General features: G+C 39.5%; 1 pseudogene; it reads left to right on the top strand.

Moving 5' to 3' along the window:
* Positions 1-310: 310 nt before the first annotated feature.
* Positions 311-8,592, top strand: LOC100996375 (angiogenic factor with G patch and FHA domains 1-like; annotated as a pseudogene).
* Positions 8,593-12,905: the final 4,313 nt, after the last annotated feature.

Here is a 12,905-nt window from a genome sequence, read left to right on the forward strand (position 1 = left end):
AAAGGTTCATCGGCAATGACAAATTGACATATTTTCAATCATATTAGATGATAGCTAAACCATTAACAAATTTACTGTTTTGTTTCATAATAAAAAACAAGGTTAAAAAGTTTGACTAATTAGGCATATGGATAAATGGGCAGCATTTTGACCAGTAGACAGAGGATACACATTTTCAAAGACCAGACAAAATTATTTATTTATTTTTGGGGAGAGAGAACAGTTTTATTAACTGAGGATACAGTGGAGTCTTCTCCCTGGGAGGTGAGATCTTCCACTGGTTACCCCCGCCAGGGCTTCAGTGGGCGCCATGCGATTCAGCGCTGGACTCCGCTGGGGGCCGGGCCTTGGAGAAGGCGAACTGTGCAGGGAAGCAGCAGCTCTGGGGTCCTTACCGCCCGCTCCGCCCAGCTGCACCGGGTCTCCTGGTGCTCCTCAGGCTCCTGCCGAGTCTGCGTCTCTGGAGGGCAGCGAACCATCCTGCCCAGAACCTTATCCTGACAGCCCAGTTTGATGCAGGTCAGCCATTTCTGCTTCCTCCCCTCGGGCTGGACTTGGCACTTGGGTTTCTTCCAATCCTTTCTCCGGCCACTTCTCTGTCTGCCGGAGCTTAAATTTCAGCCTCACACATGTTCCAGCTGGGAAGGGCGTGTCCAGGGCGCCATCCACACTGGTTTTCTGGAAATCCTGCTGCACTGGCTGGTGCTTGTAGATTCCTCCAGGACCACCTGCAGGCCCCGGCGCTGGGCCCCTGAGCTCGGACCCGCCCCCCCCACTCCCGCGCCCACCCACGGGGCCAGCGAGATCCACAGCCCTCTCAGTCTTCCCCTTTCACCCCCGCCCTGCGAAGTGGGTGTGCACCCCTTAGTTCTCCGAGCCCGCCGGGAGCCACCTCCTCCCCTGCCCCTGGGGGTTCCATGCCCGCAGAACGCTGGGCAGAGGCGAATGAACCGGGAAATGTCCCTTTCTCCACACTGACCTTGGAGTCTGTTGGGTCCTCTCCACTCCCTCCCACCCTGCCCACGCTGTTCCCTGGGGCCCTCAGTTTCAGCAAAATTCCCTGCCGCGCCGGGAAGCTGTCCTGTTTCCCCCTCTCACCCTTCTTCCTTTTCTGGCCCACTCTCTCTCCCCACTGGGTCTCCGACACGACCCTCTCTCCTCCTGGCTGTCCTGGAGCCCCTCTTTGCTTCCCCAGCTCTGTCCCCTCTCTGACCGCTTCTCCCTCCCACCCCCGACCGAATCTCCTGGCTCCCACGGGGGGACCCAAATCCCCAGGACCCAGGTCAACCACACATAATTATTTTGAATGGGAAGACTTGAATTCATGAAAGAAGGAATCCATCTGGTTATACTTTAAATAATTTTGAAATGATAATAGCAACTATCAATTTAAAGTTTAACCAGAGTTCAGAATACCCACCATTTTACCACAAAGAAAAAAAAAACCTGTTATAACTAACCAATTCAGTAAATTTTCAGGATACAATATTAACATATGAACATCAGGTGCATGTTTTTACAGTAACAATAAAATATCTGAAAAAGGAATAAAGATAATTCCATTTACGATATTATCAAATAGAATGGAACACTTAGGAACAAAGTGTTGGAATGGAACACTTAGAAAAAAGAATATGAAAAATCAGCATACTGAAAACTATAAAATGTTGAGGAAAGAAAATGAAGAATACAAAATGGGAAATATATCCTGTATGCATGGATTCTAAAAATATTGTTAAAATATCCATAGTACACAAAGTGATCTACAGGGTTAAATAAATTTCTATCAAAATTTTAATGCCATTTTATTAAAAATGCAGAACAACTATTTTAAAATTAGTATGGAATCACAAAAGACCTCAAATAGCCAAATACTGAGAAGAACAAAAAGGCTGGAAGCCTCCCACTTCCTGATTTCAAACTGTATTACAAAACTATAGCCATCAAAATAGTATAGTACCTACATAAAAACCAATATAACAGAATAGGGGACCCAGAAATAAACTCACAAATATACAGTCAACCTATCCCACAGAATAGAGAAAGGATAAACACATCAAGGAGTGGTGTAGGAAAAACTAGATATGCAGAGACAAAAAGTACACCTTTCTCTCATACCATCACAAAATGAATTTGAAATGAAATAAAGACTTAAACATAAGAACTGAAATCATGAATCCTCTAAAAAAATGGGGAAAAACCTCCTTGACACTGGTCATGGCAATGATGCTTTGGATTTGGCAGCAGGAGCGCAGTCAACAAATGCAAAAATGAACAAGTGGAACTATGTCAAAGTAAAAAGTTTCTGCCCAATAAAGGAAACAATCAGCAAAATATAAAGGCATTATATGAAATGGGAGAAAACATTTCTAAACCATAGGTGGGATAATATGTTGCTATCCAAAACGTATATCATACTATTCAATACAAAAGAAGAACCCACAGCAGAATTAAAAGCAATTTCTTGATTAATAATTGGGTAAAATATATAAATAGCAATTTTTCCAAAGATATACAAATGGCCAATAGATATATAAAAAATGTTCAACATCACTAATTATCAGAGTAATTAAAATCAAAATCACAATGAGGTATCACCTTATCGTGGTGTTTGGATACCTATTATCAAAAAGTCAAAGGATAAAATCATTAGGGTGCAGAGAAAAGAGAACACTTGCACACTGTTGCTGAGGATGTCAAATGGTGCAGCTATTATGAAAAACAGCATGGAGGTTCCTTATAATTTTTAAACTAGAACTACCATTAATCCCAATTCGGAGTATATAGCCAAAGGAAATAAAGTCAGTATCGTCAAGGGTATCTGCACTCCTCTGATACAGATAAATAAATAAACTGAGAGGTATATAATTTCAGCTTTAATAAAAAATGAAACTTTCATTTACAAAAAATACTGATAAATTTTGAACATATTATGCTAAGAGAAAGCTTAAGCTGAATACAGAAGGACAATTACTGCATGATCTCGTTTGTATGTAAAATCTAGAAAAGCAAATAAAAATTAAAAAGTCATGGAAAGAGAGTAGAACGGTGGTCCCCATGGGCTAGTAAGAGGGAAAGTGGGGAGATATCCATGGAAGGGGTTCACTTTCAGTTATAAGGTGAGTAACTGCTGGGGACCTAATGTACACAATGGTGACTATAGTTAACAATACTGTGTACTTGAAATTTGTTGCAAAAGTAGATCTCAGGTTCTCTCAACACACACACAGAAATGTATTAACTATGTGAGGGGACACATATGGTAACTAGCTTAATTGAGATAATTTAAAGATGTATACACATCTCAAAACCCTCTTGTACACCCTAAAAATATACACTTTTCAATTTGTCAAACATAGCTCAATGAATGGAGAAAAAAATAGGAGAAAAAATATAAGAGTGACCAGCAGGTCATATCTAGCCACTTGGAAACTCGATTTAAAACACTCTTGGCTTCTTAATTTTTGTAAACCATTTATTAAATAGGCAATCCTTTCCCCATTGCTTGTTTTAGTCAGCTTTGTCAAAGATCAGATGGTTGTAGATATGTGACATTATTTCTGAGGGCTCTGTTCTGTTCCATGGGTCTATATCTCTGTTTTGGTACCAGTGTCATTCTGTTTTGGTTACTGTAGCCTTGTAGTATAGTTTGAAGTCAGGTAGTGTGTAATGCCTCCGGCTCTGTTCTTTTAGCTTAGGATTGACTTGGCGATGTAGGCTCTTTTTTGGTTCCATATAAAACTTAAAGTATTTTTTTTTTCCAATTCAGTGAAGAAAGTCATTGGTATCTTGATGAGGATGGCATTGAATGTATAAATGACCTTGGGTAGTATGTTCATTTTCACGATATTGATTCTTCCTACCCATGAACATGGAAAGTTCTTCCATTTGTTTGTATCTTATTTTATTTCATTGAGCAGCTGTTTGTAGTTCTCCTTGAAGAGGTCCTTCACATCCCTTGTAAGTCGAATTCCTAGGTATTTTATTCTCTTTGAAGCAATTGTGAATGGGGGTTCACTCATGATTTGGCTCACTGTTTGTTATTGGTGTATAAGAATACTTGTGATTTTTGCACATTGATTTTGTATCCTGAGGCTTTGCTGAAGTTGCTTATCAGCCTAAGGAGATTTTGGGCTGAGACAATGGGGTTTTCTAGATATACGATCATGTCATCTGCAAACAGGGACAATTTGACTTCCTCTTTTCCTAATAGAATATCTTTATTTCCTTCTCCTGCCTAATTGCCCTGGCCAGAACTTCCAACACTATATTGAATAGGAGTGGTGAGAGAGGGCATCCCTGTCTTGTGCCAGTTTTCAAAGGGAATGCTTCCAGTTTTTGTCCTTTCATTATGATATTGGCTGTGTGTTTGTCATAGATAGCTCGTATTATTTTGAGATACGTCCCATCAATACCTAATTTATTGAGAGTCTTTAGCATGAAGAGTTGTTGAATTTTGTCAAAGGCCTTTTCTGCATCTATTGAAATAATCATATGGTTTTTGTCTTTGGTTCTGTTTACATGCTGGATTACATTTATTGATTTGCGTATGTCGAACCAGCCTTGCATCCCAGGGATGAAGCCCACTTGATCATGGTGGATAAGTTTTTGATGTGCTGCTAGATTTGGTTTGCCAGTATTTTATTGAGGATTTTTGCATCAATGTTTATCAAGGATATTGGTCTAAAATTCTCTTTCTTGGTGGTGTCTCTGCCAGGCTTTGGTATCAGGATGATGCTGGCCTCATAAAATGAGTTAGGGAGGATTCCCTCTTTTTCTATTGATTGGAATAGTTTCAGAAGGAATGGTACCAGTTCCTCCTTGTACCTCTGCTAAAATTTGGCTGTGAATCCTTCTGGTCCTGGACTTTTTTTGGTTGGTAAGCTATTGATTATTGCCACAATTTCAGAGATTGTTATTGGTCTATTTGGAGATTCAACTTCTTCGTGGTTTAGTCTTGGGAGGTTGTATGTGTCGAGGAATTTATCCATTTCTTCTAGATTTTCTAGTTTATTTGCATAGAGGTGTTTTTAGTATTCTCTGATGGTAGTTTGTATTTCTGTGGGATCCGTGGCGATATCCCCTTTATCATTTTTTTATTGTGTCTATTTGATTCTTCTCTCTTTTCTTCTTTATTTGTCTCGCTAGTGGTCTATCAATTTTGTTGATCTTTTCAAAAAAACAGGTCCTGGATTCATTAATTTTTTGAAGGGTTTTTTGTGTCTCTATTTCCTTCAGTTCTGTTCCGATTTTAGTTATTTCTTGCCTTCTGCTAGCTTTTGAATGTGTTTGCTCTTGCTTTTCTAGTTCTTTTAATTGTGATGTTAGGGTGTCAATTTTGGATCTTTCCTGTTTTCTCTTGTGGGCATTTAGTGCTATAAATTTCCCTCTACACACTGCTTTGAATGTGTCCCAGATATTCTGGTATGCTGTGTCTTTGCTCTCATTGGTTTCAAAGAACATCTTTATTTCTGCCTTCGTTTTGTTATGTACCCAGTAGTCATTCAGGAGCAGGTTGTTCAGTTCCCATGTAGTTGAGCGGTTTTGAGTGAGTTTCTTAATCCTGAGTTTTAGTTTGATTGCACTGTGGTCTGAGAGACAGTTTGTTATAATTTCTGTTCTTTTACATTTGCTGAGGAGTGCTTTACTTCCAACTATGTGGTCAATACAAAAATTAATTCAAGATGGTTTAAAGACTTAAACCTTTCACCTAAAACCATAAAAACCCTAGAAGAAAACCTAGGCAATATCATCCAGGACATAGGCATGGGCAAAGACTTCATGTCTAAAACACCAAAAGCAATGGCAACAAAAGCCAAAATTGACAAAAGGGATCCAATTAAACTAAAGAGCTTCTGCACAGCAAAAGAAGCTACCATCAGGGTGAACAGGCAACCTACAAAATGGGAGAAAATTTTCACAACCTACTCATCTGACAAAGGGCTAATATCCAGAATCTACAATGAACTCAAACAAATTTACAAGAAAAAAAACAACCCCATCAAAAGTGGGTGAAGGATATGAACAGACACTTCTCAAAAGAAGACATTTATGCAGCCAAAAAGCCCATGAAAAAATGCTCATCATCACTGGCCATCAGAGAAATGCAAATCAAAACCACAATGAGATACCATCTCACACCAGTTACAATGGTGATCATTAAAAAGTCAGGAAACAACAGGTGCTGGAGAGGATGTGGAGAAATAGGAACACTTTTACACTGTTGGTGGGACTGTGAATTAGTTCAAACATTGTGGAAGTCAGTGTGGCGATTCCTCAGGGATCTAGAACTAGAAATACCATTTGACCCAGCCATCCCATTACTGGGTATATACCTAAAGGATAATAAATCATGCTGCTATAAAGACACATGCACACGTATGTTTATTGTGGCACTATTCACAATAGCAATGACTTGGAACCAACCCAAATGTCCAACAACGATAGACTGGATTAAGAAAATGTGGCACATAAGCACCGGGGTACACTATGCAGCCATAAAAAAGGTTGGGTTCATTTCCTTTGTAGGGACACAGATGAAACTGGAAACCATCATTCTCAGCAAAGTATTGCAAGGACAAAAAACCAAACACTGCATTTTCTCACGCATAGGTGGGAAATAAACAATGAGAACACATGGACACAGGAAGGGGGACATCACACTCCGGGGACTGTTGTGGGGTGGGGAGAGGAGGGAGGAATAGCATTAGGAGATATACCTCATGCTAAATGGCGAGTTAATGGGTGCAGCACACCAACATGGCACATGTATATATATATGTAACAAACCTGCACATTGTTCACATGTACCCTAAAACTTAAGGTATAATAATAATAAAATTTAAAAAAAAAAGAATTCCGGAAAAAAAAACACTCTTGGCCACTGTTTCCAGCTCAACTCGAGAACAGCCAGAGCGCTTCTGGCCCCTGAACTTCGACGCTCCTCCCCCGGCCCCAATGGCTGGCGAAGGTACAATCCTTCCCGGGATTCCAGGCCGCGAAGATAGGGCAGGGCCATCGCAGTCCCCTTGCTCTTTGCCGCAGCCCCGTTAGGCTTCGCGTTTCGTGGTGTCCAGGCCGCGGAGGCTGCCTGTGGCTGCCCGTGCGTCCCCGTGGCCTGTGGCTCCTCAATTCTGCGCTTCGGCCCCGCGCAGCCCCTTCGAGGCTGCAGCCGTCTTGCGCCCGAACTCAGGGCCCCGGGCCCGTTCCCCCCGCCAGCGCCTTCGCTTTTGCCGCCCCTCCCTCTCCCCGAACCCCAGCGGGCCCCCAGAGAAGGAGGGCGGAGAAGCTGGAAAGCGACTGCGGAGCTGCCGGCGGCAGGTGCGGGAAGGGGAGAAGCTGGCCTTGCACAGAAAGGCTGCTCAGAGCGACACGGACAACGGCCAGGAGCTCCTCACGCAGCTGGAAGAACTCAGTAACGTGCTCCACTGTGGGGGGAATGGAGATAATGAAAGTGTGATGTAGAAGTACTCACAGAGAACCATGATCCTTGGTCAATCTCAGATTATTATTGTCAGACCTACTCTAATGATGTTAGTCTTCCAAGTAAAGTGAGTGACTGAACTGTCAGATCAGCAAGATCAGGATATTGAAACTCCTGCTTTGAATTCTTAAGACCAATTACAAATGGAAAATGATGCTCACCCTTCTACTGATAAAACAGCAAATGTTGAATGTAGACAAGAGGGTCATTTGCCTCAAATTCACAGGAGCCAGCATCTGCATTAGCAGCACAAGATATATCCTTAGAAGGTCCGTCATTAGCTGGAAGTTTGAGAGCTACAGCAGAAGCGGCTTTATCACAGACTGGATTTAGTTATGATGAAAATGCTGGACTGTATTTTGACCACAGCACTGGTTCCTATTAAGATTCTGAGAATCAAATCTCAGATTATTATCAGACTTACTCTAATGATGTTAGTCTTCCAAATAAAGTGAGTGACTGAACTTTCAGATCAGCAAGTTCATGATATCGAAACTCCTTATCTTATCATATTCACCCTGACGTGATAGCTGTGTTGGATGTGAACCAGGGTAGGTTAGAGCTCACCTTTTCCTTGATAAGAAAGATGAATCATTTGTTGGTCCAACATTAACTAAGAAGGAAACGAGTTGGAAAGAAGAAAAGGATTTTTAAAATATATGAGTAAAATATGGTTTACAGAATACAGACTATGAAGATGATAAGATACTAGAGAATGTAAACTATAACGACAGAGCTGGAAAACATAGGGAGCAGATTGGAAGCGAAGGAAATTTCCAAAGAGATGATGCTCCTGCATCTGTTCATTCTGAAATTACTGATAGCGACAAAAGTCAGAAGATGTTGAAAAAGATGTGTTGAAAACAGGAGAAGGCCTGGGGAATGATGGTGGGAGAATAAAAACTCTGATACAGCTTCAGCTTCGGCAGACACATGCAGGATTGGAGACAGGCAAACCATCCTCAATTAAAGAGGCTCACCTTCTCCAAAACAACAAGAACAGAAACTAGGACAAAGCACAGGAGAGGTTTGCTGAAAACTTTCCAGAAACTAAACTTCCAAAAGATGACCTAGGAACCATTCCTTGGGTAAAAGAGACTGAGGAGTGAAGGTTAATCACAGAAGAAAACTCAAGCTTTTTTAAAAATAGAGTTTGGAAACTCTTATTTTATTGCAGAACGTTTCTCCTCAAAAAATTCAGTGGCACAAGAAAACTATGTCACAATTTACCCCTTCCTGATTCAGAAATGTGTAATAAAGTGTGGTTGGCAGCTTTTAAAAAAACACTTTTTAAACTAATTATTAGTGCCTGAATTAAGTTATACAGTAAGTGAACTAAAGTTCACAGGGCACAGATAAGTTTATCAAACTTTACTATTTTATCTTGTCATTTACAACATCCATATAAGCAATTAGCCATATAAGCAAAATTCATATAACCACTTAAATGTACATTTGTCCTTGTCTCCATATATTCATACTAAGATGCACAGAAAATACAGCAAAAGAAACATTGAAAGTCAATAAAAATAAATCTGACAATATACATTTTTTATGCCCTTCAGGACCTAGATACAAAAAATGTTGAGAAAACATGGATAGTGGTGCATACATTTTCTAATATGTGAATAGCCTAAATCACATGAAAGAACTAATGAACGGTGACATGTCATAGAAAATTCATCTTTTATTGTTTTCTTTGATGAAGAATCTGAATTTGTTGATATGTACTATACATTCAGCATTTGTATTTGGTTTGTTTCATAGCTAATGATATGTTTATACATGAACAAAGAGTACAGTGTTGAAATAGTCTGTGTGCTGACATTCATAGTTTTTAAAAATACCATTGCAGGCAATGAAGTTGTGCCAGAAAAATCTGATTTCTTGTACAAAAGGAATACTTAGCCAGGGCCTCAAGCTCAATATATTTATTAAAAATGTCCTACATTGCCATAAAAACATGATAACGTTAAATAATTTATTTCTATAAATTAAGAATTAAAAATAAAAATGATATCTTTTATGGATTAAGGAAGTGCTGATGAGACAGAATGGCGATTGAAGACAAAAATTCCAAATTCAGGTAAATAATTTTACTCATATTTGTTTTATTTTAGAGAAAACAATACTTTTGACCATATACTATTTATTGCAGTGGAGTATTTCAAAAATATATACACAATATATAATTAATTTTCTAATGGCATAAAAGTAATCACATTCTACAGATTATTACAATATGGTCTATTGATGAGAGGGGTGTTTCAAATGAAAAAACTTGGAATTTCTCATGAGATAGTGATAGATGCCATAGAAAATCTCTGTAAAGTATTTCACTCATATATGCAACTATGGATATTTCTGCTTTTCAGAAAAATAATTTACTTTAAATACTTAATGCAGACAATTAAAATCACCAAGAAGTTACAAGAATTCACAGAATGCCTAATATAGTTGAAATGAAATTAATAAAATTTCCCAGGACTGGAAGTAAATAAAGGTAATGAGCTGGAGAAGAAATCAACCTAACAGGCCAGGGCTCCACTCAGATGCGTCTGATCACAAGAATGTCAGGTCCATGTGGGTTGTTCCCTTCTGACAAGGCAAATGGAATAAACAAAGAGGAACTGCCTGCAGGCATTGGAATGTGGTGTCTCCCATATGTGATGATTAAATTATAGATTATGTTGCACACAAAGAGATGAGCTACTGGGGTGAAGCATCAGAAGAAATATGGCACATAAATCTCAGATATTGAATTTACATTTAAATGTTTAAGTCAATATAATGGAAAAACAAGAAACCAAAATAATGTAGAAAGAAACTACGAGCTTGTCAAGTTATCTTTGGAAAAGAGGCAAATGAAAAGTAAAGTATTGAAAGTGTTGTAAAACAATTTAATGTACAACATATAAGTTACATATTAAAATAGGCTGAGCCGAAAAGAGGACTAGTAAAGTGAAATGCTGATCACAATTAATGTAGTCATATATGTTATACAAGGCAAATTAATAGAAAATATAAATATATTTATATATGAAGGTTAGATTGAGAGGAAATAAAAGACATTCAATTGTTTTACTAGACTCTTTAAACAGGAAGGCAATAGTCAAAGAATCAGTGACTCGTAAGTTTCAGAAATTGGAAACCAGACATGAATCCTTTAAAAGTTTAGGGTGTAATATATGAAAAAAAGGTAAATTAAGAAATACTAAGAAGAAATAATGGTTTTGGTTATTATGAATACTGCTTAAAAAACATGAAAGTGCAGTTATCTTTTTGACTTGCTTGTTTTATTTCCTTTTGATATAAACCCAGTAATGAGATTGCTGCATCATATGGTAGTTTTATTTGTAATTAATTGAAAAACCTCCATGCTGTTCTCCCTATAGAAATGGGAAATGATTATAGTAATTTACATTCCTACCAACAGTGTATAAGGGCCCATCTACAGAATGAATAAAGAAAATGCTATACACACACGCACACTCACACGCACACACACACAGGAATAATGTTCAGTCATAAAACAGAATGAAGTTCCGTAATTTGTGTCAACATGGATGACTGTAGAGGACATTATGTTAAGTGGAATAAGCCAGTCACAGAAAGACAAAGACCACGTGCTCTCACTCATGTGACATCTGAAGAAGTCCATCTCATACAAGTAGGGAGTAGGATTGTGGTTAACATAGGTTATCGATGGCAGAAGGATGAGAGAGTGGGGAGAGCTTTGTCACTGGGTACAAAATTACAGTTAGGAAGAATAAATCCTGGTGTTCTATTACACAGTACGATGACTATAGCTAATAATAATGTACCGTTTATTCTATAATAGCTTGAACAGAGGATTTTGAACTTTATTAGACAAGGAAATAAATATTTAAATTTTTAAATATGCTAATCACTCTGGTTGGATCACTGTACAGTGTAAAAGGTACAATGTGATGCAGTGAAACGTGATATAATTAACACTTGATAATTATACATGTTTACGGAGTATAGTGTGGTGTTTCACTGCATCACGCTGTACCGTGTAATATGATGCAGTGAAACATAATGTAATTAACACATGAAAATTATACACGTTTATGGAGTACAATGTGATGTTTCACTGCATCTCACTGTACCGTGTAGTATGATGCATTGAAACATCACACTGTACCCCATAAATATTAATGGTTCAGCGAGGAACTCTGGGACACAGAGCAGCTCCGGGTTAGCCATGACCAGGAGCTTCACTTGTGTGAGGTAGCGAGAGGGGAATGCCCCTGTACTCAGCTGAGAGTTGGCCCCGACCCCATCCACTTTGACTGCTGGGTGCCAGCAGAAGTCAGGGACCACTAACTTCAGGCAGAGGCAGGAAGCAAGGTCATTGCATCTTTTTTCTTTTTTTCTTTTGAGAGAGTCTCACTCTATCACCCAGGCTGGAGTGCAGTGGCGCGATCTCGGCTCACTGCAACGTACTTAGAGGTGTACTTCAGAATCACACCTGCAGGAATCACACATAGAGGTTTACGTCAGAATCACATCTGCAGGAAGGTCCCTCGGTGAGATTAACAAGCCCACATAAGTGCCAGTTCTGGGTATGAGAGTCAAGGCCTCCTGTATGTTGCATCTATGTACATAAATCACAATCTCAACGGTGGAATGGATTTTTCCATGACAGCCTTAATGTCTTTTGAAAACTGAGTTATCTTACTGTAGTCACAGCCTCACAAGTGTTTTGGATCTTGGTCAGGGAGTCACATACTCACTTGTGGACAACATCCACTTATGAGAGCCAATTTTCCAACTTTTGACTGCCTCTGGGTGTGAGATTCAAAACCTGAATCATGGGCTGTGTTCATGTGGGAGAATGACAATTTTGACTGATGGCTGGGCTCAGGCAGGAGACTTTCATCCTGCAGGTGTTGAGATAAATGATATGTCACAATACACAAAATATGCTGGGTGCAGGCAAAAGAGGAGATTCATATTAGCTGGTTACTAGGTCCAGTTATATGTCACGTTTTTGGCAGGGCTAAGGCAGAAGAGGAGAGTCAGAGCTGAAGAAATGTCACAATGTCCCTGTGGGCAGGGCCTACGCATAAGAATTACATCATGTAGTCATCGAACCCAGCCATATATTACAATACACAATGTATACAGGACCAAGGCAAGAAAGGACAGTATATCACATAGGTACTGGGTCCAGCAATATGTCACAATACCACCTGAGGGGAGGCTCCAGGCAACAGGGTAACATTACCTAAGTGAAGTGCCCAGAGAGATGTTTCAATGCCCCTGGTGGGTAGGATTTTGAAAAAGGACAAGTTACAGAACCTAGGGGCTAGGCATAGCTATGAGCCACATTCGTCTCCAAGACGGAGCTCAGACATGAGAGAAAAGTTACATCTTGTAAGTACTGGGCAAAGTA

Source organism: Homo sapiens, unplaced genomic scaffold (genome assembly GCF_000001405.40).
Source record: "Homo sapiens unplaced genomic scaffold, GRCh38.p14 Primary Assembly HSCHRUN_RANDOM_CTG10".
Taxonomy (NCBI): domain Eukaryota; kingdom Metazoa; phylum Chordata; class Mammalia; order Primates; family Hominidae; genus Homo; species Homo sapiens.